The 23,621-nt window shown below is 43.0% G+C and overlaps 1 protein-coding gene, 1 non-coding gene and 2 pseudogenes across 7 annotated transcripts in view; 2 read left to right on the forward strand and 2 right to left on the reverse strand.

The window, feature by feature from the left end:
* Positions 1–23,621, reverse strand: part of ADGRE3 (adhesion G protein-coupled receptor E3) — a 74,728-nt gene that overhangs the window by 16,182 nt on the left and 34,925 nt on the right. For 5 of the 6 annotated variants that reach the window (XM_011528374.3, NM_001289159.2, NM_001289158.2 and 2 more), the window contains 6 exons: positions 21,807–22,042; positions 16,938–17,004; positions 16,623–16,714; positions 13,741–13,909; positions 9,194–9,301; positions 2,819–3,173 (listed from right to left, as the gene is read on the reverse strand). In XM_011528374.3, coding sequence (XP_011526676.1) covers positions 3,135–3,173; positions 9,194–9,301; positions 13,741–13,909; positions 16,623–16,714; positions 16,938–17,004; positions 21,807–22,042 — 711 coding nt within the window. In that variant the 3' untranslated portion in view covers positions 2,819–3,134. Of the gene's footprint in view, positions 1–2,818; positions 3,174–9,193; positions 9,302–13,740; positions 13,910–16,622; positions 16,715–16,937; positions 17,005–21,806; positions 22,043–23,621 lie in introns of those variants that run through there. The other variant, XR_001753772.2, reaches the window with a different exon arrangement.
* Positions 5,915–6,053, forward strand: SNORA104 (small nucleolar RNA, H/ACA box 104). The gene has a single exon (NR_132784.1). It is a non-coding gene; the product is annotated as a small nucleolar RNA, H/ACA box 104 (small nucleolar RNA).
* On the reverse strand, positions 5,923–6,990 carry ITGB1P1 (integrin subunit beta 1 pseudogene 1; annotated as a pseudogene).
* Positions 12,301–12,503, forward strand: YPEL5P4 (YPEL5 pseudogene 4; annotated as a pseudogene).

Consider the following 23,621-nt stretch of genomic DNA (forward strand, 5'->3'; position numbering starts at 1 on the left):
TTTCCTGGGATCATCTCCAAAATAATCTACCTGCATGCATTAAACTCCTTATCTCAGAGTTTGCTTTTGGGAGAACTCAAATGATGATGCTATGGGATGAGTGTCATCATCAAAGATGAGTTTGTGAAATGGTTCTGGTTTGCCTGGGACTGAGGGACTCCTGGATTGTGGGACTTTTGGTACTAAACCTGGGAAAGTCCCGGGTAAACCAGAATGAATTGACTATCCTTATAGGAGGATAGTGTGGCATCAGGGAAGCCAAGAGAAGAGAATGCTTCAAGAAGAAAAAAAATGATCAACAGAGTCAAATGTTGACCCAGCGGTCAAGTTTGGTAAGACTGAGAAACAACCAGTGGACTTTGCACCGAGGAAGCATTTGGGACATTGGTTCATCCTTTGGTGTGTTGCAAGCAGAAGTTAGATTGCAGTGGTTGAACAGTGAGGAGGTTGGAGCAAGTGAAGACAACACAGTGGAAACAAGCTTTTTTCTAGAATTTTTTTTTTTTTTTTTTTGAGATGGAATTTCGCTCTTGTTGCCCAGTCTGGAGTGCAGTGGCGCAATCTCGGCTCACCGCAACCTCCATCTCCCGGGTTCAAGTGATTCTCCTGCCTCAGCCTCCTGAGTAGCTGGGGATTACAGACATGCGCCACCACGCCTGGCTAATTTCGTATTTTTAGTAGAGAGGGTGTTTCTCCATGTTGGTCAGGCTGGTCTCGAACTCCTGACCTCAGGTGAACCACCCGCCTTGGCCTCCCAAAGTGCTGGGATTATAGGTGTGAGCCACCACACCCCACCTTTTTTTCTAGAATTTTGGCTGTGAAGAGGAGGAGAGATAGAGTGGCTATTGCAGAGGGAAAGCAGATTAAGGGGAGACTTTTTGGATAGAAGGGGCCTGAACATGTGTCCTCTCTTTTCCTTCCTTCTTTTCTTTTCTCTTTTCTTTTCTTTTTTCTTTCTTCCTTCCTTCCTTTCTTTTTCGTTCTTTCTCTTTCTCTCTCTCTTCCTCTCTCTCTTCCCCTTGCTTCCCTCCCTCCCTCCCTCCCTTTCTTTCTTTCTTTCTTTCTTTCTTTCTTTCTTCCTTTCTTTCTTTCTTTCTTTCTTTTCTTTCTCTCTTTCTTGATGGAGTCTTACTCTGTCACCCAAACTAGAGTGCAATGGCATGATATTGACTCACTGCAACCTCTGCCTCCTGGGTTCAAGTGATTCTCCTGCCTCAGCCTCCCAAGTAGCTGGGATTACAGGCCCCTGCCACCACGCCTGGCTAATATTTGCATTTTTAGTAGAGATGGGGTTTCACCACATTGGATAGGCTGGTCTCGAACTCCTGACCTCAGGTGATCCACCTGCCTCGGCCTCCCAAAATGCTAGGATTACAGGCGTGAGCCACTGCACCCGGCCATGTCCTCTCTTTTCTTCCAAAATTCCTATTATTCTCATATTAAACACCCCAGTCTTCCTTTTATTCTTCCAAGATTTTAATCTTTTGGCCTTTTTTCCTCAGTGCTTTGAGCTATTTCTCCTGTGTGGTCTTCTAAGCCTCAAATTTGGCTTTTGAGAGTGATGACTTAAAAAAAAAATCACCCAGCATCAATAGCAGACAGGTGCTAAAGAAAAATAAAAATCATCCAGTAAAATATCTTCTTAAATGTATTCCTTTTTTATTAAGTTCCATAGAACTAGAACTTTTGGGCATGCACTTGAATCTTCTTACATTCTTTAATTTTTTTATTTTTTGCAAAATAAACTTTTATTTGGAGGGACAGCATAATTTAGAGTCCAGGCTCTTTTACACTTTAAACATTTATTTATTTATTTGTTTTATATAGACAAAAATATATATATTTATCATGTACAACAGGATGTTTTGAAATATATCTACATCGTGGAATGACTAAGTCAAGCTAATTAATATACGATTACCTCATATAACTTTTTTTTCTTTTTTTTGTGGTGAGAACACTTAAAATCTCTCATCAGGCGCGATGGCTTGTGTCTGTAATCCCAGCACTTTGGGAGGCCCCGGCAGGTGGATCGCTGCTTGAGGTCAGGAGTTTGAGATCAGCCTGGCCAACATGGTGAAACCTTGTCTCCACTAAAAATACAAAATTAGCTGGGCATGGTGGCATGTGCTTGTAGTCCCAGCTATCGGGAGGCTAAGGCAGGAGAATTGCTTGAACCCAGGAGGTAGAGGTTGCAGTGAGCCTAGATCTCACCACTGCACTCCAGCCTGGGTGACAGAGTGAGACTCAGTCTCAGAAGAAAATAAGTTAGCCTGGGCCGGGCACGGTGGCTCATGCCTGTAATCCCAGCACTCTGGGAGGCCAAGTCAGGTGGATCACCTGAGGCTGGGAGTTCGAGACCAGCCTGACCAACATGGAGAAACCCTGTCTCTACTAAAAATACAAAATTAGCCGGACATGGTGGTCCATACCTGTAACGCCAGCTACTTGGGAGGCTGAGGCAGAAGAATCGCTTGAACCCGGGAGGCAGAGGTTGCACTCACGCCGTTGCACTCCAGCCTGGGCAACAAGAGCGAAACTCCATCTCAAAAAAAAAAAAAAAAAAAAAAAAATTAGCCTGTATCTAGCAAGGAAGTAAAGCCAGTAGGAAGCTGATGGTTTGAGGGAATGAGTGAGTTTAAAGAGCAAGTTTATGGCCAGGTGCAGTGGCTCATGCCTGTAATCCCAGCACTTTGGGAAGCTGAGGCTGGAGAACCAGTTGAGCTCTGGAGTTTGAGGCTGCAGTGAGCTACGATCATGCCACTACACTCCAGCCTGGGTGACAGAGTGAAACTCTGTCTTAAAAAAAGAGCAAGTTTAGGATGAGTGGGACTAAGAACTTGAGGAAAAGGACCTCTTCATTTACAAAAAGTCAAGGAAATATTTGCAGTGGTCATGCTTTGGGTTTCCAGGGACAAGCATTGACTGAATACACCATAGTGAAGAGAAATGCAATTTACCACACATTTGTTGAGAGCCTATTGTGGAGAACAAACAGCTTGGGAAGTAAAGGTTGATTACTTCCTCTCCAAGGATGATATGTTTAATGAATTCCCTTTTCCTTAGCTTCATTCTTCATAATGCCAAAGAGATCCATGGATATGATTTTCCATATGGAGTTGAATATTCTAGTTTTAATATTTTCTCTTCACTTGTCCTGGAAAAACATCCCCCTATAAAAGAGGTTTAGATTAAAGGTGGATGTAAGGGTAAAATAAAGTAAACAGACAAAATCAACAACATGGAAAAACAGCAGGAGTGATTTAAACCCAGTTTGAACCAGCAGGCAAGGATGGCATGATCTCCTAGCATTTAAAAATCCTAGGGCAGATGTGGTCTTCTTTGGCTTAGAGTGGGAAGACTTATCAAAAATTCAGCAGGAAGAATTCTTCTTTTTGATAAATTTTCAGACATATTACACTCTGGAATTTCAGCCCCCTGGATGTTTTTTTGTCTATGAAGAAAGGTTAGAGTCTTGTTGGCTTTGTTTCTCTTTGAATGCCTGTTATCTAACATAGTGCCTGACACACTGTAGTACTCAACAAATGTTCTCTTTGCACCCCACAACTTACAGCTTGGTTTAGCAGCCCCAAGCTCCACAGAGGAACCAACATCTCCTGAAGAAGCCTATGAGGTTAGTGCTTCCTAGCCTAGTTATAAGAGTTGTGGGCAAGAAGTTCAAAGTTACATCTTCCTTCCTGGTATTTATGGTTCATTCATAGAATTTCCCATCTAGATGCAATTTACAAGTCAAGCTTGACTTTTTCCATAGGCAACATTGCCTGGCGACCTATCTGATCTTCCAACTTTATCACGTTTCTTGGGAACAGAGTTAGAAAGTTAACCCAAGGTCAAACTTGTCCATAGAGAAAGAGTTTCATTAGCTTTTTACTCAAACTCTGTGCCTAAAAAATAAAAGCATGGAGATTTTTCTGTAGAGATGGGGTCTTATTTTGTTGCCCAGGCAGGTCTCAAACTCCTGACCTCAAGCGATCCTCCTACCTTGTTCTCCCAAAGTGCTGGGATTACTGGCATGAGCCACCATGCCCGGCCAAAGCTAATGTATTTCTTAAAGAGAGATTCATATATACATGTATATATGAATATATATGTATATTCATGTATATATGAATATATATGTATATTCATGTATATATGAATATATGAATATATTATGAGTACATATGAATATATATGAATATATGAATATATTATGACTATATATGAATATATATATTTTATATATATATTATATATATATATATATATATTTTTTTTTTTTTTTTTTTTTTTTTTTTTGAGACAGGGTTTTGCTCTGTCACCCAGGCTGGAGTGCAGTGGCCTGATCTTGGCTTGATCTTGGCTCATTGCAACCTCTGCCTCCCGGGCTTAAGCAATGCTCCTGCCTCAGCCTCCCAAATAGCTGAAACTACAGGCTACAGGCATGCACCACTACACCTGGTTAATTCTTTGATGTTTCTGCAGAGACAGGGTCTCACTATACTGCCCAGGTTATATTTGATATTTTCCCCTTCCAAAGATACACTCATATTATTCAATTTCCACAATGTTAAACGATTTTCCTTATTTCATTGTGGAGAACCAATAACTGGAATGCTGGCAGCTTTGGGAATTATTTTGGATTATCTGGGAAACCTTTCATAGGTCACAGTCAACAGTTGGCACTTTTACTCTTGTTGAGAATAATTAAGCCTAATATTAATCAAATTTTTTTTTTGAGACAGAGTTTCATTCTTGTCGCCCAGGCTGGAGTGCAATGGCATGATCTCGGCTCACCGTAATCTTTGCCTCCCAGGTTCAAGCGATTCTCTTGCCTCAGTCTCCTGAGTAGCTGGGATTACAGGCACCTGCCACCATGCCCAGTGGCTCACACCTGTAATCTCAGCACTTTGAGAAGCTGAGGCGGGCGGATCACTTGAGATCAGGAGTTCGAGACCAGCCTGGCCAACATGGTGAAACACCATCTCTACTAAAAATACAAAAAAATTAGCCGGGTGTGGTGGCGGGCGCATGTAATCCCAGCTACTGGGGAGGCTGAGGCAGGAGAATCGCTTGAACCCAGGAGGCAGAGGTTGCAGTGAGCCGAGATTGCACCACTGTATTCTAGCCTGGGTGATAGAGTGAGACTCTGTCTCAGAAAAAAAAAAAAGTGAAAAGAAAAGAAGAGACAGGTTCTCACTATGTTGCCCAGGCTGGTCTAAAACTCCTGGACTTGAGTAAAACCATGGCAATATTGCCCTAAAGCTACCTAACTGTGACTATGGAAATTGCTACTTTGCATTCAGTGTTGTGGGATTTGCACGGGCAGTACTCATTTTCCCTCATACTTCGGATTGACCACAGTTGTTACGGCACTCTTATAAATAGGATTTTCACCCGTGTCCCATTTGGCATTCATTTTCTCCTTTTCAAATTTAGCAAACTCCCTTCTGTCATGAATTATCATTAAAAGCTTCCATATCAGCAGTAATGCAAGGCCAATAAGAACAATTCCAGCAACCACACCAGCTACAATTGGAATGATGTCTGGACCAGTGGGACACTCTGGATTCTCCACAACATGAACCATGACCTCGTTGTTCCCATTCACTGAATACGTAAAATAGAACCAACAGTCGTCAACATCCTTCTCCTTACAATGGGACACAGGATCAGGTTGGACCGGCTGGGGTAATTTGTCCCGACTTTCTACCTTGGTAATGTTAAAATAGGAACATTCCTGTGTGCATGTGTCTTTCTTTTCTCCTTTATTGAAGGCTCTGCACTGAACACATTCTTTATGCTCAGCACAGACACCAAGGCAGGTCTGACACATCTCACACGTTTGCCCTTGAAACTTCGGATCTGTACACTTACAGACACCACACTCGCAGATGCCCCGGCCATTGCAGATCTGTCCGTTGCTGGCTTCACAAGTACTAGTATAATTTTTAAAATGTTTTATTATTTTGAAAATAATGTTGTAATTCATGCCAGGGACTGACAAAAGACTTGAGACAGGATGGTTATTCTTGTCAGCTAAGGTCACATTGTGCCTTTTTGACCTTTTCTTCCTGGACTATTGAAATCAAGCTTATTGGATTAAGTGATATTTCTATAGCGATTGAAAGGGCAATAGTTAAAGTAATGAGCATGATGAGAGTTTCTGTTAATCATGTATTAAAACTGATTTTTAGCTTTACAAATATGTCAGTTTGCAGTTATGCAGAATCCAAAGTAAATGTCCTGCTAGCTAGTTAAGGATTGTTTTAAATCTGTTATTTTGCTATTTGCCTGTTAGACATGACTGATGACATATCTGAAAGACAAGTATGTTGAGAGTTGCTGGTGTAAAATACGTTTGAAATAGTTGATCTACAAAGGCCATGGGAAAAATTCAGAGAGTTAGGAAGGAAAAACCAATAGCTTTAAAACCTGTGTGCCATTTTAAGAGTTACTTAATGTTTGGTAACTTTTATGCCTTCACTTTACAAATTCAAGCCTTAGATAAAAGAACCGAGCAATTTTTTGCTAAAAAGTCCTTGATTTAGCACTATTTACATACAGGCCATACTTTACAAAGTATTTGCTGAATGGGGACCTTTTGAGTTGAATTTATTTTATTATTTTTATTTTGTTTAATGTCTGGTGCTTTCTGTCACCTCTTCTAATCTTTTAATGTATTTGTTTGCAATTTTGGGGTAAGACTTTTTTTATGAGTACTTTTTCTTTGAAGTTTTAGCGGTCAATTTGCCTTTTTAATGAACATGTGAAGTTATACTGTGGCTATGCAACAGCTCTCACCTACGCGAGTCTTACTTTGAGTTAGTGCCATAACAGACCACTGTATGTTTACTTCTCACCATTTGAGTTGCCCATCTTGTTTCACACTAGTCACATTCTTGTTTTAAGTGCCTTTAGTTTTAACAGTTCACTTTTTACAGTGCTATTTACTGAAGTTATTTATTAAATATGCCTAAAATACTTAAAAAAAAAAAAATAAAAAAAAAAAAAAATAAAACTCCTGGACTTAAGTGATCCTTCCACCTTGGCCTCCCAAAGTGTTGGGATTACAGGTGTGAGCCACCATGCCCAGCCTCTTTTTAGATGTCTATTCTGTCATTTATTCAAAAAGCCAAATATGGAACGAAATGTCACATAGTGCAGAAAGCTCATTCTGTGTTGCACTGAGCCTGAGTTAGTGCAATGGAAGAACAGAATACCAGCAACCAGATTCCAGAAGTATCATCTTTCTAACAGGGCTATGTCCTCCCCCAGAAAGGTCCCATGATTCCCTGCACCCATCCTCTGCAATTATGCAGAGCAGCTGGGGCAGAATCCCTCCCCTGGAGCCTGTTCCATGGCGTACCGTCACTCTGTGGGCCCACATCCACATCTTTATGGACAGTGGGCATTTGGGGGAAGATGATCACTCTGCTATGCCTACACTTGTAAATTTCCCCCAGTGAGAGTCTGTGTTAGATTGCATTGGTTCTGATGATATGTTTCACCCATACATCTTCACACAGCAAGAATACATATGAAAACCAGCTTAAGTGCTGTTAGTGAGCAGAGAGGAGTCACTGAGGAACAATATAACAAGAATGAGGAACTCAAACCAGGTTATCGGGAAAAGGACTCTTCCTCATACCCTCCAGGAAAGCAAGTTTGTACTAAGACTAGCTCCTCAAAGCTACCCTACGTTTCCCAGGCTGGTGTCAAACTCCTGGGCTCAAGCGATCCTCCCATCTTAGCCTCCCGAGTAGCTAGGACTACAACGCCACCACACCTGGCTTCCTTTTTTTTTTTTTTTGAGACAGGGTTTCGCTCTTGTTGCCCAGGCTGGAGTGCAATGGCACGAGCTCGGCTCACTGCAACCTCTGCTGCCCGGATTCAAGCGATTCTTCTGCTTCAGCCTCCCGAGTAGCTGGGATTACAGGCATGTGCCACCATGCCCAGCTAATTTTGTATTTTTAGTAGAGATGGGGTTTCTCCATGTTGGTCAGGCTGGTCTCGAACTCCCAACCTCAGGTGATCTGCCCACCTCGGCCTCCCAAAGTGTTGGGATTATAGGCGTGAGCCACTGTGCCAGGCCTGTGGCTTCCTTTTTATTATTATTATTTTACATTGTGGAAATTGAATAACATGAGCATATCTTTGAAAAAGGAAAATATAGGCCGGGTGTGGTGGCTCATACCTGTAATTTCAGCACTTTGGGAGGCTGAGGTGGTAGGACTGCTCGAGCTGGGAGATCAAGACCAGCCTGGGCAACATAGGGAGACTCCATCTCTCTCTCTATAAAAAAAATTAGTAGGGCATGGTGGTGCACACTTGTGGTCTCAGCTACTCAGGAAGCTGAGATGGGAGGATTGCTTGAGCCCAGGAGGTCGAAACCGCAGTAAGCTATGATCACGCCACTGCACTCCAGCCTGGGTGACAGAGCAAGACCCTGTCTCTTAAAAAAAAAAAAAAAGGAAAATATAAATTAAAAACTAGAGGAAGCTCAGCAAACGAACTCAGGAGCAGAACACCAAACACCGCATGTTCTCACTTGTAAGTGGGAGCTGAACAATGAGAGCTCATGGACACAGGGAGGGGAACAACACTCACTGGGGCCTGTTAGGGGACGTTGGAGGGGGGAGAGCATTAGGGAAAAGAGCCGATGTGTGCTGTTTTTGTTTGTTTGTTTGTTTGTTTTTTAGACAGAGTCTCGCTCTGTCACCCAGGCTGGAGTGCAATGGTGCGATCTTGGCTCACTGCAACCTCCGCCTCTCAGGTTCAAGTGATTTTCCTGTCTCAGCCTCCCCAGTAGCTGGGACTACAGGTGCATACCACCACACCCGGCTAATTTTTGTATTTTTAGTAGAGATGGGGTTTCACCATGTTGGTCAGGCTGGTCTTGAACTCCTGACCTCAGGTGATGCACCCACCTTGGCCTCCCAAAATGCTGGGATTACAGGCATGAGCCACCATGCCCAGCTAATGCTGGGCTTAATACCTAGGTAATGGGTTGATAGGTGCAGCAAACCACCATGGCACACGTTTACCTATGTAACAAACCTGCACATGTAACCTCAGAACTTAAAAAACAAAAACAAAAACAAACAAACAAAAAAATCCCAAACTAGAGGAAGTTTGCAGTGTCAAGAGAGGAGTATGTAAAACATTAGAACAATTCAGATGTTTCACTTACCTCACTGGGTTTTGAGTCAGGACCCATCTTGCTGGAAAGTGTGTATGTCTCAGACTCAGATTTTGATTTTACGATCTCTCTAAACCACTTTTGATATTGTTTCTGGACCTGGAACATCAAAGGAAATACCTGGATGGGTTTTGCTAACATTGGTGAACAGCAGAAAGGTCGGTGAGTCAGGAAGAGGATAGAGATGTATTATTATTTATTTATTTTCACAAAACATGGTCTATTCGTACAATGGAATATTACTCAGTCTTATAAAGGAAGGAGATTCTGACACATATGCTACCACACGGATGAACCTTGAGGACATCAGGCTAAGCGAAATAAGCTGGTCATGAAAAGGCACATACTGTATGATTCTACTTATATGAGGTACCTAAAGTAGTCAAATCCATATAGACCTAAAGTAGAAGAGCGGTTTCCAGGGCCTGGGGGGAAGGAGAGTGGCGAGGTAGTGTTTAATGTGGATGGAGTTTCAGTTTGGGAAGATGAATAAAGTTCCGGAGATGGATGTTGGTGATGGTTGCACCACATTGCGAATGTGATGCTACTAATGGTACACTTAAAAATGGTTAAAAAGGTAAATTTTATATTATATATGTTTTACCACAGTAAACATTTTCATTACAGGGTATATAATTGTTGTAGAAAATTTATGGCCAGGTGTGGTGGCTCACACCTGTAATCCCACCACTTTGAGAGGCCGAGGCGGGTGGATCACGAGGTCAGGAGATTGAGACCATTCTGGCTAACACGGTGAAACCCTGTCTCTACTAAAAATACAAAATAATTAGATGGGAGTGGTGGCTCATGACTGTAATCCCAGCTACTCCAGAGGCTGAGGTAGGAGAATTGCTTGAACCTGGGAGGCAGAGGTTGCAGTGAGCTGAGATCACGGCACTGCACTCCAGCCTGGGAGACAGAGCAACACTTCATCTCAAAAAAACAAAAGAAAAGAAAAGAAAAAATAGAAAATGTATAAGATATGCATATGCAAAAGGAAGAAAATAGAAGTTGCATATAATTCCTCAATCTAGTGAAAATCACCAATAATATTTTGGTAGTACCCTTCAATGTGTCTTGGTTTTGGGCACCTCAGAAGCAGACCCTGCAACAAGGGTGGAAGTGTAAGGAGTTTATTTGAGGGGTGATCCCAAGAAGCACCAGTAGGGCAATGAGGAAGCAGGACAGGGAAGAGAAGGCAGCTGGTAAAGAATGCATAATTAAGGTTATTTCCACTGTGGGAATCTGGGGCTCAGCCCCATTCAGGAGCTCTGGGGTAGAGCATGGAACTACCTTAGAGTCAACTTGCCTGAAGGAGGAGGGAGCTGGGGTATTTATCCACCAGCTCCCATCAGTCATGGGTTGATGGCCGGTCTCAAGGGCCATTACTCTTTGGCATCACCAGTTTGCCCTATGCATGGGCCAGGCGTGTCCTGTGGGCAGTACGAAGCCTTCAGGCACAGTCATGGGTGTTTGCAACAAGCAACTCCAGGCATGTAGAGACAGAAGCCAAAGGGATATGAGAGGGCCGTGGACAGCATCTGCCACACCGTGATATCCTAACCTTGGCACTGTTGACATCTTGGGTTGGATCATGTTTTGCTGGAGAGGGCTGTCCTGTGTGCATTGTTTAGGATATTTAGCGGTATCCCTGACCTCCACCAACTAGATGCCAGTAGAAACCCCCACCCCAGTAATGACAAGCATTTCCCCAGACATTGCTAACTGTCCCGTGGTGGGAACACAATTGCTCCTGGTAAGAACCATTCTGATATGCCATAAACACCCATACCTACATATAAATAAATACATAACAATAACACAAACAATGAGTGCTTATACTCGTTATATAAACAAAATGAAACCCTCTGGGGTAGTTTCTTTTGTTTTTTTTTGAGACGGAGTCTCGCTCTGTTGCTCAGGCTGGAATGCAATGGTGTGATCTCAGCTCACTGCAACCTCTGCCTGCCAGGTTAAAGTGATTCTCTAGCCTCAGCCTCCCTAGTAGCTGGGATTACAGGCAGGTGCCACCACTCTCGGCTAATGTTTGTATTGTTTAGTAGAGACGGGCTTTCACCATGTTGGCCAGGCTGGTCTTGAACTCCTGACCTCAGATGATCTGCCTGCCTCGGCCTCCCAAAGTGCTGGGATTACAGGCACGAGCCACCACGCTTGGCTGGGTTCCATTGTGGAGACAGCGTGCAGTCCAGATTATCCCTGAGCACCCCTTAGTAAGGGATCTTCTTGGAGGACACAGACTACTGTTCAGTTGCAGACAAATAAAGTGTTTTGAATTTAGTAGCCATATGAAATAAAACTATATATATCTTTAAAAACTGGATGCTAGGCCAGGCACGATGGCTCACGCCTGTAATCCCAGCACTTTGGGAGGCTGAGGCAGGCAGATCACCTGAGGTCGGGAGTTCGAGACCAGCCTGACCAACATGGAGAAACCCTGTCTCTATTAAAAACACAAAATTAGCTGGGTGTGGAGGTGTGCACCTGTAATCCCAGCTACTCAGGAGGCTGAGGCAGGATAATCACTTGAACCCGGGAGGCAGATGTCGTGGTGGGCTGAGGTCGTGCCATTGCACTCCAGCCTGGGCAACAAGAGCCAAACTCTGTCTCAAACAAAAAACAAAAAACAAAACAACAAAAAAACGAATAACAAAAACTGGATGCTATGATATGCCTCACAAACTGAGATAAACTAAGGGAAGAGTACATATAAGTGTTTTGCGTATGCTCATGTGAAACCCCATCTCTACTAAAAATACAAAAAAAAAAAAAAATTAGCCAGGCATGGTGGCATGCGCCTGTAGTCCCAGGTACTCGGGAGGTGGAGGCCGAAGAATCGCTTGAACCTGGGAGGCAGTTGCAGTGAGCCGAGATTGAGCTACTGTACTCCAGCCTGGGTGACAGAGCAAGAATCTGTCTCAAAAAATAAATAAATAAATAAATAAATAATGATGATGATGACGATGAAACACACACTCTGCTAGTGGTGCCTGTGAACCAAGTGGAGATGAGTTCTGCCTCCTGCCTCAGCCTCCTGAAGTACTGGAATTATGGGCATGAGTCACTGTGCCTGGCCCCAGTTTCTCTTTAACGAGGCAGTTAACCTGCAGTACAGTGAAGTTCAAGACCTCATCATGCCCACTGCTGTTCCATGGTTTGAGATGTGAGTTGCAAAAACTGCAATAGCAGACTGGGATGGATCTATGAGTTTGCCCCTGCAGACAGCCAGTGTTACAAGGAAGGCTGTGTGATCCTGGAATGTGACCTAGTTTGGGACAGTGACAGCTTTAAGGGGCAGATATCATCTGATATGTCTTGAAGAAAAAGAGATAAATCAGTCCAGCATGGTGGCTTACACCTGTAATCCCGGCACTATATAATTGGTATTGACTGGAAGCTTCTTCTTTTTCTCTTTTTTTTTTGAGACGGAGTCTTGCTCTGTTGCCCAGGCTGGAGTGCAGTGGTGCGATCTCGGCTCACTGCAGCCTCTGCCTCCTGGGTTCAAGTGATTATCCTGCCTAGCCTCCCGAGCAGCTGGGATTACAGGCGCCTCCATCATACCCGGGTAATTGTTTTGTAGTTTTTAGTAGAGATGGGGTTTCGCCATGTTCGTCAGGCTGGTCTCAAACTCCTGAGCACAAGTGATCCCCCTGTGCTGGCCTCCCAAAGTGCTGGGATTACAGGCGTGAGCCACTGCACCCTGCCGATTGGAAACTTTTTCTGAAATAGGGCAGAACTGCTTGGGTGTTTTTTTCCATGTAACTTAAGGTAGTAATGTAAATAAAATAGTAGTTGGAAAAAAAATAATTCATGTGAAGTGGTGTGTTAGCTGCATTGTTGATCTCCACGATTCACTCCTTTGTAGTTGTATTACACTCTGTCTTAGTCTCTTGGTGGGTTGAGTGTTCTTTTCTCATTGACTTTGGGCTTGGGTGTGTGACTTTCTTTGGCTAATGGGATATTAGTAGAGGAAGAATCACAGGCTTGAGTGACCTTGCCCAGTAGGGTCTGCCTCTTTGTGATTTCAGCATTGTTAGGAGAAGAATATTTGCTGGGGAGTTGCTCCCCCTTCTGCTTAAGCCTCAGGATGAGTCACAAGGAGCAGGCCTAAATCTGATCTGCATCCTGGAGCAAAGGCAAGCTGAGCTCAGCTAAGATCAGGTGAACCCCAATAGACCTGTAGACCCCAGAATAAGAAAAGCAAATATTTGTGTTTAAACCAATGAGATTTTTTGAGGTTGTTTGTTACACAGCATTAGCTGACTATTACGAGTGGGAAAACTGAGAAAAAGGCATGATTTTTTTTTGACATAGCAATTATTTATATTCTGAAATGTGTTAATAAATGATGTATCTTAACAACTAGTAGCATTTTTAAAGTAGAGAAAATAGAGAGAGTGTTTACAGGTGGATTATAATCTCATGTGGAACATTTAGAGAATGTCAACTTAAATCCCCATTGAACTCCATTTCCAAAATTTTCTTAAGTTTAAATAACAAAGAAAGGGGTCAGTGTTTACCTGCTGGCTGAGGAGGCAGTAGACCAAGAAGATGAAGAAGCCTTGGAGGCTGTTGATGATGGTGAAGAGGTAGGCCATGACCTGGGCAGCTGGACCCACCTGTAGCAAGCCCAGACACCATGTGCAGCCCAGGATGAAGAGCTGAGCTGTTGCTTTGAAAGCCAGCATCCTGGGAGGAGGAAGTCAGAGATTAGGATGTCAAAAAACTAATAATGAGCATGAACACCCCTCTAGTTAGCTGTTAATAGTAAGAACTCTGGAGCTAGACTACCTGAGTTTAAATGGAAGCCAGCACTGGCTACCTGTGTGATCTTGTGAAAGCTGCTTTACCTTCTTGCAACTCAGCTCCCTCATCTTATTTTATTTTATTTTATTTTATTTTATTTTTGAGATGGAGTCTTGCTCTGTTGCCCAGGCTGGAGCACAATGACATGATCTCGACTCACTGCAACCTCCACCTCCAGGGTTCAAGTGATTCTCCTGCCTCAGCCTCCCCAGTAGCTGGGACTAACTACAGGCATGCACCATCATGCCCTGCTAATTTTTGTTATTTTTAGTGGAGATGGGGTTTCGCCATGTTGACCAGGCTGGTCTTGAACTCCTGACCTCAAGAGATCCACCCATCTTGGCCTCCCAAAGTATTGGGATTAAAGGCGTGAACCACTGCACCCAGCCTCAGTTCCCTTATCTTAATAATTGTCCTATTTCGTGGGGTTGCTATAAAGATTACATGAGACTTTAATGGGAAAGTATTTAGGACAATGTATGGGACAAAGTTAGTACCAGACATGCATAAGGCATTTGAAAACCTGGGTGCTTTCTCTCTCACTCTTATCATTTATAGACAGGGGTCATATAATTTTTTTTGTTGAGACGGAGTCTCGCTCTGTGGCCCAGGCTGGAGTGCAGTGGTGTGATCTCAGCTCATGGGTTCAAGCGATTCTCCAGCCTCAGCCTCCCGAGTAGCTGGGATTACAGGCACGTCACCACACCCAGCTAATCTTTGTATTTTTAGTAGAGAAGGGGTTTCACCATGTTGGCCAGGCTGGTCTCGAACGACTGACCTCAAATAATCCACCTGCCTCGGCCTCCCAAAGTGTTGGGATTACAGGTGTGAGCCACCCCACCCGGCCGGGGTCATATAATTTGTTATTCAAACAGGAAGGCTTTTGTGATCAAAAGGAGGTGTACTGTTCCTAACAGAAAGAAATGATAAATGTTTGAGGTGATGAGTACCTTAAATACCCTGATTTGATCATTGCACATTTTATGCATGAATCAAAATATCACAAATACTTTGTAAATGTATATAAATATTATATATCAATAAGAATAAAAATAATAATAAAAAATGAAAGGGATACTATTAATAATTACATTGTGTCGACAGACATAAACTGAGACTGTTCCAGGTAAGCTGAGATATGAGGCCATCCTATTTATAGTATTTATGGCATATATACACACACAATATATATATGTACATATATATTTTATATACACTATCACAACATATAATCACAATATATAGTGATAGTGTATATAAAAATATACATTGTGTTATATATGTATAGAATATATTATATGTGTATGTATATGTGTGTACATACACATATAATATCTATATTACATGCATATATACATTATATATATCCCTAATTATTAAGGATATTACATCAGTGAGGAAAGCTAATTGAGGAACAGTTTGTATAGTGTGATCCTATTGTGTGTGTGTCGGTCTGTTCTACTTAAAAGTGCACAGAGAAAGCTCTGGGAAAATGTCATATTTTATCTCACACATCATACAGGCTGTTAATTCTGGCTTCCTGGGAAGTGGAAGTAGCAGGAAGAGGGACAGCCATTTTCATTTTTTACTGTATATATTTCAAAAGACTATAAAAAAATGTAACAAAGTTGTCTTATTTTTATGATTAAAATGAAAACAACAAATTACATGCTCAAATTAAAATGGATGCTGCAACATAAAAATACTCATACCTCAAGATATTTTGAAATATTATACAAGATATCTTTTAATCTAGATTCTTATTGAACCTATCACACACGATTGGAGATAAACATTTAAATTGGTATATGTACAGAGAGTTTAATTTGTAATTTAAGCATGTGATTTAATATAGCTAGATTGATCTCTATTGGCTGGGGTGGACATAGCTTTGTGACATTACCAGATTCATTTTTAGGGTTTCTATATAATTTAAGCTTCTTAGTAACTGTTGGATTAGCAAATTTGAGTTGGTTGCTTTTGATAAAAAATATACTCCTGTGTGTATCTTGTGTAGTGTGGCAGAAACGAATGTTTTTCTCCCTTTTCATCTTCCTTTTAGTGTTAGATCTCTTCCCCTTTGAGTTTTAAAACAAGGCACATGGTCAAGGTAGAGACTACATTTCCCAGCCTCCCTTGCAGCTGGGTGTTATCATGTGACAAAGATCAGCCAATGGGATATGAGCAAATGTGGCAACTGCAACTCCTATATTACCTCCTTCCCATGGATGGGATATTGACAAGGGCAACATCCTTCTAGAGGATGGTGGAGCAACAAAGTAGAAAGCACCTGAGACCCTGGAACACTGTGTGGAGCAGAGCTTCTTTATTAGCCCTGAACTGGTCACTTCTGGGTTGCAACATGAGACTGAAATAAACTTCTATTTTATTCTTTTTTTTTTTTGAGATTTTTTCTTTATCACAGCAGCTTAGCTTGTATTCTAGCTAACTCAGGTTCTCATTAACTGTGATGGTGGAAGATTACAGTGGTCTTGCTAGTCCTGGGAGCATGGCTGTTGAATGTACGTGTGTATGGATATGTAGGAAGGACTGGCAGAAGGAAAGGGAATAGGAAGTACCATTTGTCACATCCTACCTTGTGTTCTGGATGGTTGACACTTCACTATTGAGGGAGGAAAGTTTTCTTTTCAAAATCCAAAAGACCAAGATAAACAATACTAAATTCGCCTGCAGGACCAACACAAACAAGGCAGAGTGCAAGTTAAAGTAATGTATGGTGTCCACTTTAAATTGCACACAGGAGTCCTACCCTCTTGTACATGGGACTGAATTGGTAGCAGGTGGAAAATCAAACCACCCAACAGTGGAAATGCAAGCCCCTTGTACCATCTTGTACCCAGCACTTCTCTTGGTTCTTCCTAGTTTGGGAACATCGAAGGCACATACTCACAGAGAAAATGGCACAGACTGGGCCAAGGAAACTCCACATGAATCCCTGGTCCAGGTGGAGCCAGCATCTAGGAACAGTGGGAAAAGAGATACAAAGAGAGATCAGAGAAAGTGCGTGAGATCAACATAAAGTGTCTCTTTTCCTACCAGAGAATTGTTTCCAGTTTCTCTTGAAAGTCAGCTGATGACAGGCCAGGCACGGTGGCTCACGCCTGTAATCCCAGCACTTTGGGAGGCCGAGATGGGCGGCTCACGAAGTCAGGAGCTTGAGACCATCCTGGCTAACGTGGTGAAACCCCATCTCTACTAAAAATATAAAAATTAGCTGGGCGTGGTGGCGGGCACCTGTAGTTCCAGCTATTCGGGAGGCTGAGGCAGGAGAATGGCGTGAACTCGGTAAGCGGAGCTTGCAGTGAGCCAAGATCGCGCCACCGCACTCCAGCCTGGGCGACAGACTGAGACTCCGTCTCAAAAAAAATAAAATAAAATAAAATAAAATAAAATAAAATAAAATAAAAAGAAAGTCAGCTGATGACAATAGCTTTTTTTTTTTTTTTTTTGAGACAGGGTCTTGCTCTGTTGCCCAGGTTGGAGTGCAGTGGTGCGATCTCAGCTCACTGCAACCTCTGCCTCCTGGATTCAAGTGATTCTCCTGCCTCAGTCTCCTGAATAGCTGGGATTACAGATGTGCACCACCACACCCGGCTAATTTTTGCATTTTTAGTAGAGATGGGGTTTTGCCATGTTGGCCAGGCTGGTTTTGAACTCCAGACCTCAAGTGATTTGCTCCCCTTGGCCTCCCAAAGTGCTGGGATTACAGGCGTGAGCCACCACGCCCGGCCAACAATCAGCTTTGATTACACATTTTGATTGCAACTTTGATCCACACATCATGTGACAGCCACTTTCACTTTATATATTTCAATATATATATGAAATTTTATGAAAATTTTATGAAAATTTTAACAAACTTGTCTTATTTTTATGATTAAAATGAAAACAACAAATTACGTGCTCAAATTAAAATGGATGCTGCAACATAAAAAATACTCATAGCTCAAGGTATTTTGAAGTAGTAGTATACAAAATATATTTTCATTTAGAGCCTTATTGAACCTATTACACACAATTGGAGATACATATTTAAATTGGTATGTGTACAGAGAGTTTAATTTGTAATTTAAGTATGTGATTTAATATAGTTAGATTGATCTCTGTTGGCTGGGGTGGACACAGCTTTGTGACATTACCAGATTTTTGGGGTTTTTATAGAATTTAAGCTTTTTAGTAACTGTGGTGTGATTTAGGATAATAGGCACCAAACAGCTAGGAGGAACAGCGTCCTGTTAAGCATTTTAGGAGCACAGTCCTGTTGAATTTTCACACCAGCACTGTGAGGTTGGAACAATGGGGACAACTATTATTCTCATCTCGCTAATGAGGGGACTGAGACTGGAGAGCTCAAATTACAGGAAGAATAAAGTTGGGACCTAACTCTTGTGATCCGAGAGATTGAAATAGACACTTCTATATCCACTAACATGGATCCTAAGGTTAAGGAAACCAAGTTACCCATGGGTCGGGGGTTCAGGGCCTGGCTGGTGAAGCAACTGTCTAAATTCCTCGGCTACAAGAAAACCCACGCTTGCTAAACTCCATAACAATACGAGCCATCAGTTCCCTCCTACCTCTGATATACGATCCAGACCACTATAACTCTGACTGGAAAGGGAACCAGTCAAAGCAATTATGGATCTTAAGCCAGTTTCAGTTAGTTTATAGAGGCTGTGCACAAACTGTCTTTGTGTCCTTTGGTTCAACTTTTGGTGTAGAGCCACATTCCTCGTCATTGTTTATTTTATTTTATTTATATATTTTTTAGAGTTGGATCTTGCTCTGTCACTCAGGCTGTGGTGCAGTTGCTCTATCACAACTTACTGCAACCTTGAACTCCTGTGCTCAGGCGATCCTCCCGCCCCAGCCTCCTGAGTAGCTGGGACTACAGGCATGCACCACCGTGTCCAGCTAATTAAAACAATTTTTTTTTTTTGGTAGAGATGGGGTTTTGCTATGTTGCCCAGCCTGGTCTTGAAGTTCTGGGCTCAAGCAATCCTTCCTCCTTGCCTTCCCAAAGTGCTGGGGTTACAGGCGTGAACCACCATGCCTGGTCTTCCATTTTTTTTTTTTTTTTTGAGACAGAGTTTCGCTCTTGTTGCCCAGGCTGGAGAGTGCAATGGCGTGATCTCAGCTCACTGCAACCTCCACCTCCCGGGTTCAAGTGATTCTCCTGCCTCAGCCTCCCAAATAGCTGAGATTACAGGCGCGCACCACCACGCCCGGCTAATTTTTTGTCTTTTTAGTAGAGACGGGGTTTCACTGTGTTGGCCAGGCTGGTCTTGAACTCCTGACCTCAGGTCATCCACCCGCCTCAGCCTCCCAAAGTGCTGGGATTACAGGCTTGAGTCACTGCGCCCAGCTTTTCCATCTTATTTTAATGCTAAAATCCTGCCCCAAAGTGAACATGGGATATATGTTATATATATGTTTATCCATTGTGCATACACTCTGCTCTCATCTTAAATAGGTACAGCTTTTCCAAACCTCCTGAATGTGTATGACTCTGTTGTGTAATACAGATCTAGTGAGGCATAAAACCTAACTTGTCCTTCCCCTTTTCAAAGAGGGAGCACCTTTGGTTCATCCTGGAGACTTTCTTTTTTTGGTTTGCAAACCAGTATTGCCAATAAAGCTCTCCTTTCTCTCTCTTTCTCTTTCTTTCTTCCTTCCTTCCTTCCTTCCTTCCTTCCTTCCTTCCTTCCTTCCTTCCTTTCCTTTCCTTTCCTTTCCCTTTCTTTCTTTCTTTCTTTCTTTCTTTCTTTCTTTCTTTCTTTCTTTCTTTCTTTCTTTCTTTCTTTCTTCCTTTCCTCCTTTCCTTTCCTTTCCTTCCTCTTTCTTTCTTTCTTTCTTTCTTTTCTTTTCTTTTTTCTTTCCTTTTTCTTTTTTTTTTCAGAGTCTCACTCTGTCGTTTAGGTTGGGGTGCGTTGGTACAATCACAGCTCACTGCAACTTCCACCTCCCGGGTTCAAGCGATTCTCCTGCTTCAGCTTCCTAAGTAGGTGTGTGCCACCACGTCTGGCTAATTTTTGTATTTTTAGTAGAGATGGGTTTTCACATGTGGGCCAGGCTGGTCCCGCACTCCTGGCCTCAAACGATTCTCCCGCCTTGGCCTCCCAAAGCGCTGGGATTACAGGCATGAGTCACCGTGCCCGACCTTAAAGCTCTTCTTTCTATTATTTATTCATCTTGATGGTCTTTTGAACAACACCCCAAACCCTCTCCTTCTGAAGCCATCCCTATAAACTTTATAAAAATAATCAGAGAAGACAAAACGGGGAGAAATGAAAACAAGCCAAACTTGCAGCACATCCAGGATTCACTGCCAGGTCAGCTTGCTCTCTGACCTGCTTCCTACTAGCTGTTTGGTGCCTGTTATCCTAGAATCACACAGATCCTAGATAACAGTTTCCCTTTACTGCTCTATAGGTAACAACTTAAATATTATAAAACATGAAGTTTCAGCCAGGTGTGGTGGCTCACACCTGTAATCTCAGCACTTTGGGAGGCCGAGGTGCATGGATCACCTGAGGTCAGGAGTTCAAGACCAGCCTGGTCAACATGGTGAAACCCCATCTCTACTAAAAGTACAAAAATTAGCTGGGCGTGGTTGTGGGCACCTGTAATCTCAGTTACTTGGGAGGCTGAGGCAGGAGAATCGCTTGAACCCGGGAGGTGGAGGTTGCAGTGAGCCAAGACCGTGCCATTGGACTCCAGCCTGGGCAACAAGAGCGAAACTCTGTCTCAATAAAACAAAAAAACAAAACAAAAAAAATTAAGTTTCCCCTTGAGATATTCTTTCAGGTCCTGTGTACCAGTGAAACTACTGGCTTCAGCTGCTCTGAAGGACCACAGAAGGAGCTGAGTCACCAAAGAAGGCAGTTTCCGTCTCCTGATGATTTTGTCTGCTGTACCCTGACCCACATTTTCCAGCCTCCACACCCTCCATGATCCCTTTAAAAGTCCCAGTCCCGAACTCCTTGAGGAGATTGATTTGAGAGTCTTCTCTCATCTTCTCGCTTGGCGCCCTGAGATTTTTAAGCTCTTTTTTTTTTTTTTTTTTGAGACAAGGTCTTGATCTGTCACCCAGGCTGGAATGTAGTGGCCTGAGCATAGCTCACTGCAGCCTTGAACTCCTGGGCTCAAGCAATCCTTCCATCTCAGCTTCTTGAGTAGCTGGGACTACAGGTGTGAACCACCATGCTTGGCTATTTTTTTTTTTTTTAATCTTTAGTAGACACAAGGTCTTGCTATGTTGCCCAGGCTGGTCTTGAAGTTGTGAACTCAAGTGATCCTCCTGTCTGGGCTTCCCAAAGTGCTGGGATTACAGGTGTGAGCCACTGTGCTCAGCTAATTTTTTGTAGAGATGAGGGCCTTGCTATATTGCCCAGGCTGGTCTTGAACTCCTGGCCTCAAGTGATCCTCCCACGTTGGCCTCCCAAATTGTTGGTATTACAGGTGTGAGCCACCACACCTGGCCTCATTAAGCTCTTTCTCTGCTGCAAACCCTGCTGTCTTGGTGGATTGGTACGTTACTGTGCAGTGGGCATATGAACCTGTTGGTTGTATAAGACTTCCAGAACCTTGCAAACTCTTACCACCATCTCACCCTGCTTTGTTGGGAAAGAGGTTAGAGCTGTTATAAAGGAGAACGTAGAGTGCATTGGTTACGTATATTCCCACCATCATCATGAATGCTGCCCTCAAAAGCTTTCTTAGGAAACTGTCCATGACACAAGGTGGGATTCAAGCTCACCGATCAGCAGTTCCATAAAGGTGAGGCCAGGAGGCTGCAGAAATGGCCACAGTCACAGCGGGAACGCCATAGCCGACTGGGAACATGATCCACTTCATGAGTCTATTGATGCTTGAGTAGTTGACCACTGTCAGGTTCCGTGCAGTGAGGAAGAGGTGCACACCCTCCAGCAGCATCCAGGTGAAGGCGGCCAGGTAGAGATAGTGCAAAGCACCGGCGATGATGGAGCACAGCACCTGGGGGAGGAGAAAGGGATGCCTGAAGGGGTTGTCAGGGTGGAGTATGGCCCTAGGACCTCTCCTTGACATTGGCTTTGGGTTCAGAGCACCTGACATCAGACCAAGGGCACTAAAAGTAAAGGGGAACTGGATGCAGTGGCTCATGTCTGTAATTTCAGCACTTTGGGAGGCTGAGGTGGGAGGATTGCTTGAGCCCAGGAGTTTGAGACCAGCCTGGGCAACTTAGTGAGACCCCATCTCAATTATATTTAAAAAAATAGATAGTTGATAGTCAAGGATAGCTTTGGCCACCTGGGCACCAATCCCTTCAACCTGCCCTTGGGACTGAAAGGGTAGCAGAATGTGCCACCTCCACCTATGCCACTTTGCAACAGATCACCAGAATTTACCCCTCCTTTTAAACTAAGACTTTGTATACTTTGAGCTATGTCTCCTTTCCTCATCCACTTCCCCCCTCAACCTCTGAGAACCTCCATTCTACTCTCTACTCCTACTGTATTGCGTGGTGACTATAGTTAATATATTATGAATTTTGAAGTTGCTAAAAGAGTGGATTTTGTTCTATTTTATTTCTTTGTGACAGGATCTCACTCTGTCACCCAGGCTGGAGTGCAGTGGCACAATCATAGCTCACTGCAGCCTTGAACTCTCAGGCTCAAGTGATCCTCCCACCTCAGCCTCCCTAGTAGCTGGGACTACAAGTGTGTGCCACCATATCCACTAATTTTTGCAGAGACGGGGTCTCACTGTGTTGCCCAGGCCAGTCTCCAACTCCTGGGCTGAAGTGATCCTCCCGCCTTGGCCTCCTAAAGTGCTGGTATTACAAGCATGAACCGCCACCCCAGTCCTAAAAGAGTGAATTTTAAATGTTTTCACCACAAAGAAATGATAAGTATGGAAGTGATAGATATGTTTATTATCCTGGTTTGGTCATTTCATAATGTGTATGTCTATGGAAACTTCACATTGTACCCCATAATTTTATACATTTATTATTTTTCAATTAAAAATAAAATTTAGAAAAAAGTTTCACTTTAGCATAAGAGATTATTATTATGATTATGATTCTTTTTTTTTTGAGACATGGTCTTGCTCTGTCACCCAGGCTGGAGTACAGTGGTTGCAATCATAGCTCACTGCAGCCTCGAACTCCTGGGTTCAAGCAATCTTCCTGCCTCAGCCTCCCAAGCAGCTGGGACTACAGACGTGCACCACTGTGTCCAGCTAATTTTGTTATTTTTTTTGTTTTTTTTGTAGAGACAAGGTCTCACTATATTGCCCAGGATGGCCTCAAACGCCTGGCCTCAAGTGATCTTTCCACCATTGCCTCCCAGTGTGCAGGGATTGCAGGTGTCAGCCACTGTGTCTGGCCCAAGGGATTATTTTAAACTGAAGGCAGTTGAGAAGAAGCAGATACAAAAATAGCTCTCTGCCCTCCCCCTATTTGCCTAAAAGCAGGACATACGTTTTTGTACTTGTCTTTTTTGGGGGGTGAGAACACTTAAAATCTACTTTGTTAGCAATTTTTCAATATAGAATATATTGTTATTGACTATAGTCATGATGTACAATAGCT

This window comes from Homo sapiens, chromosome 19, assembly GCF_000001405.40.
Source record: "Homo sapiens chromosome 19, GRCh38.p14 Primary Assembly".
NCBI lineage: Eukaryota > Metazoa > Chordata > Mammalia > Primates > Hominidae > Homo > Homo sapiens.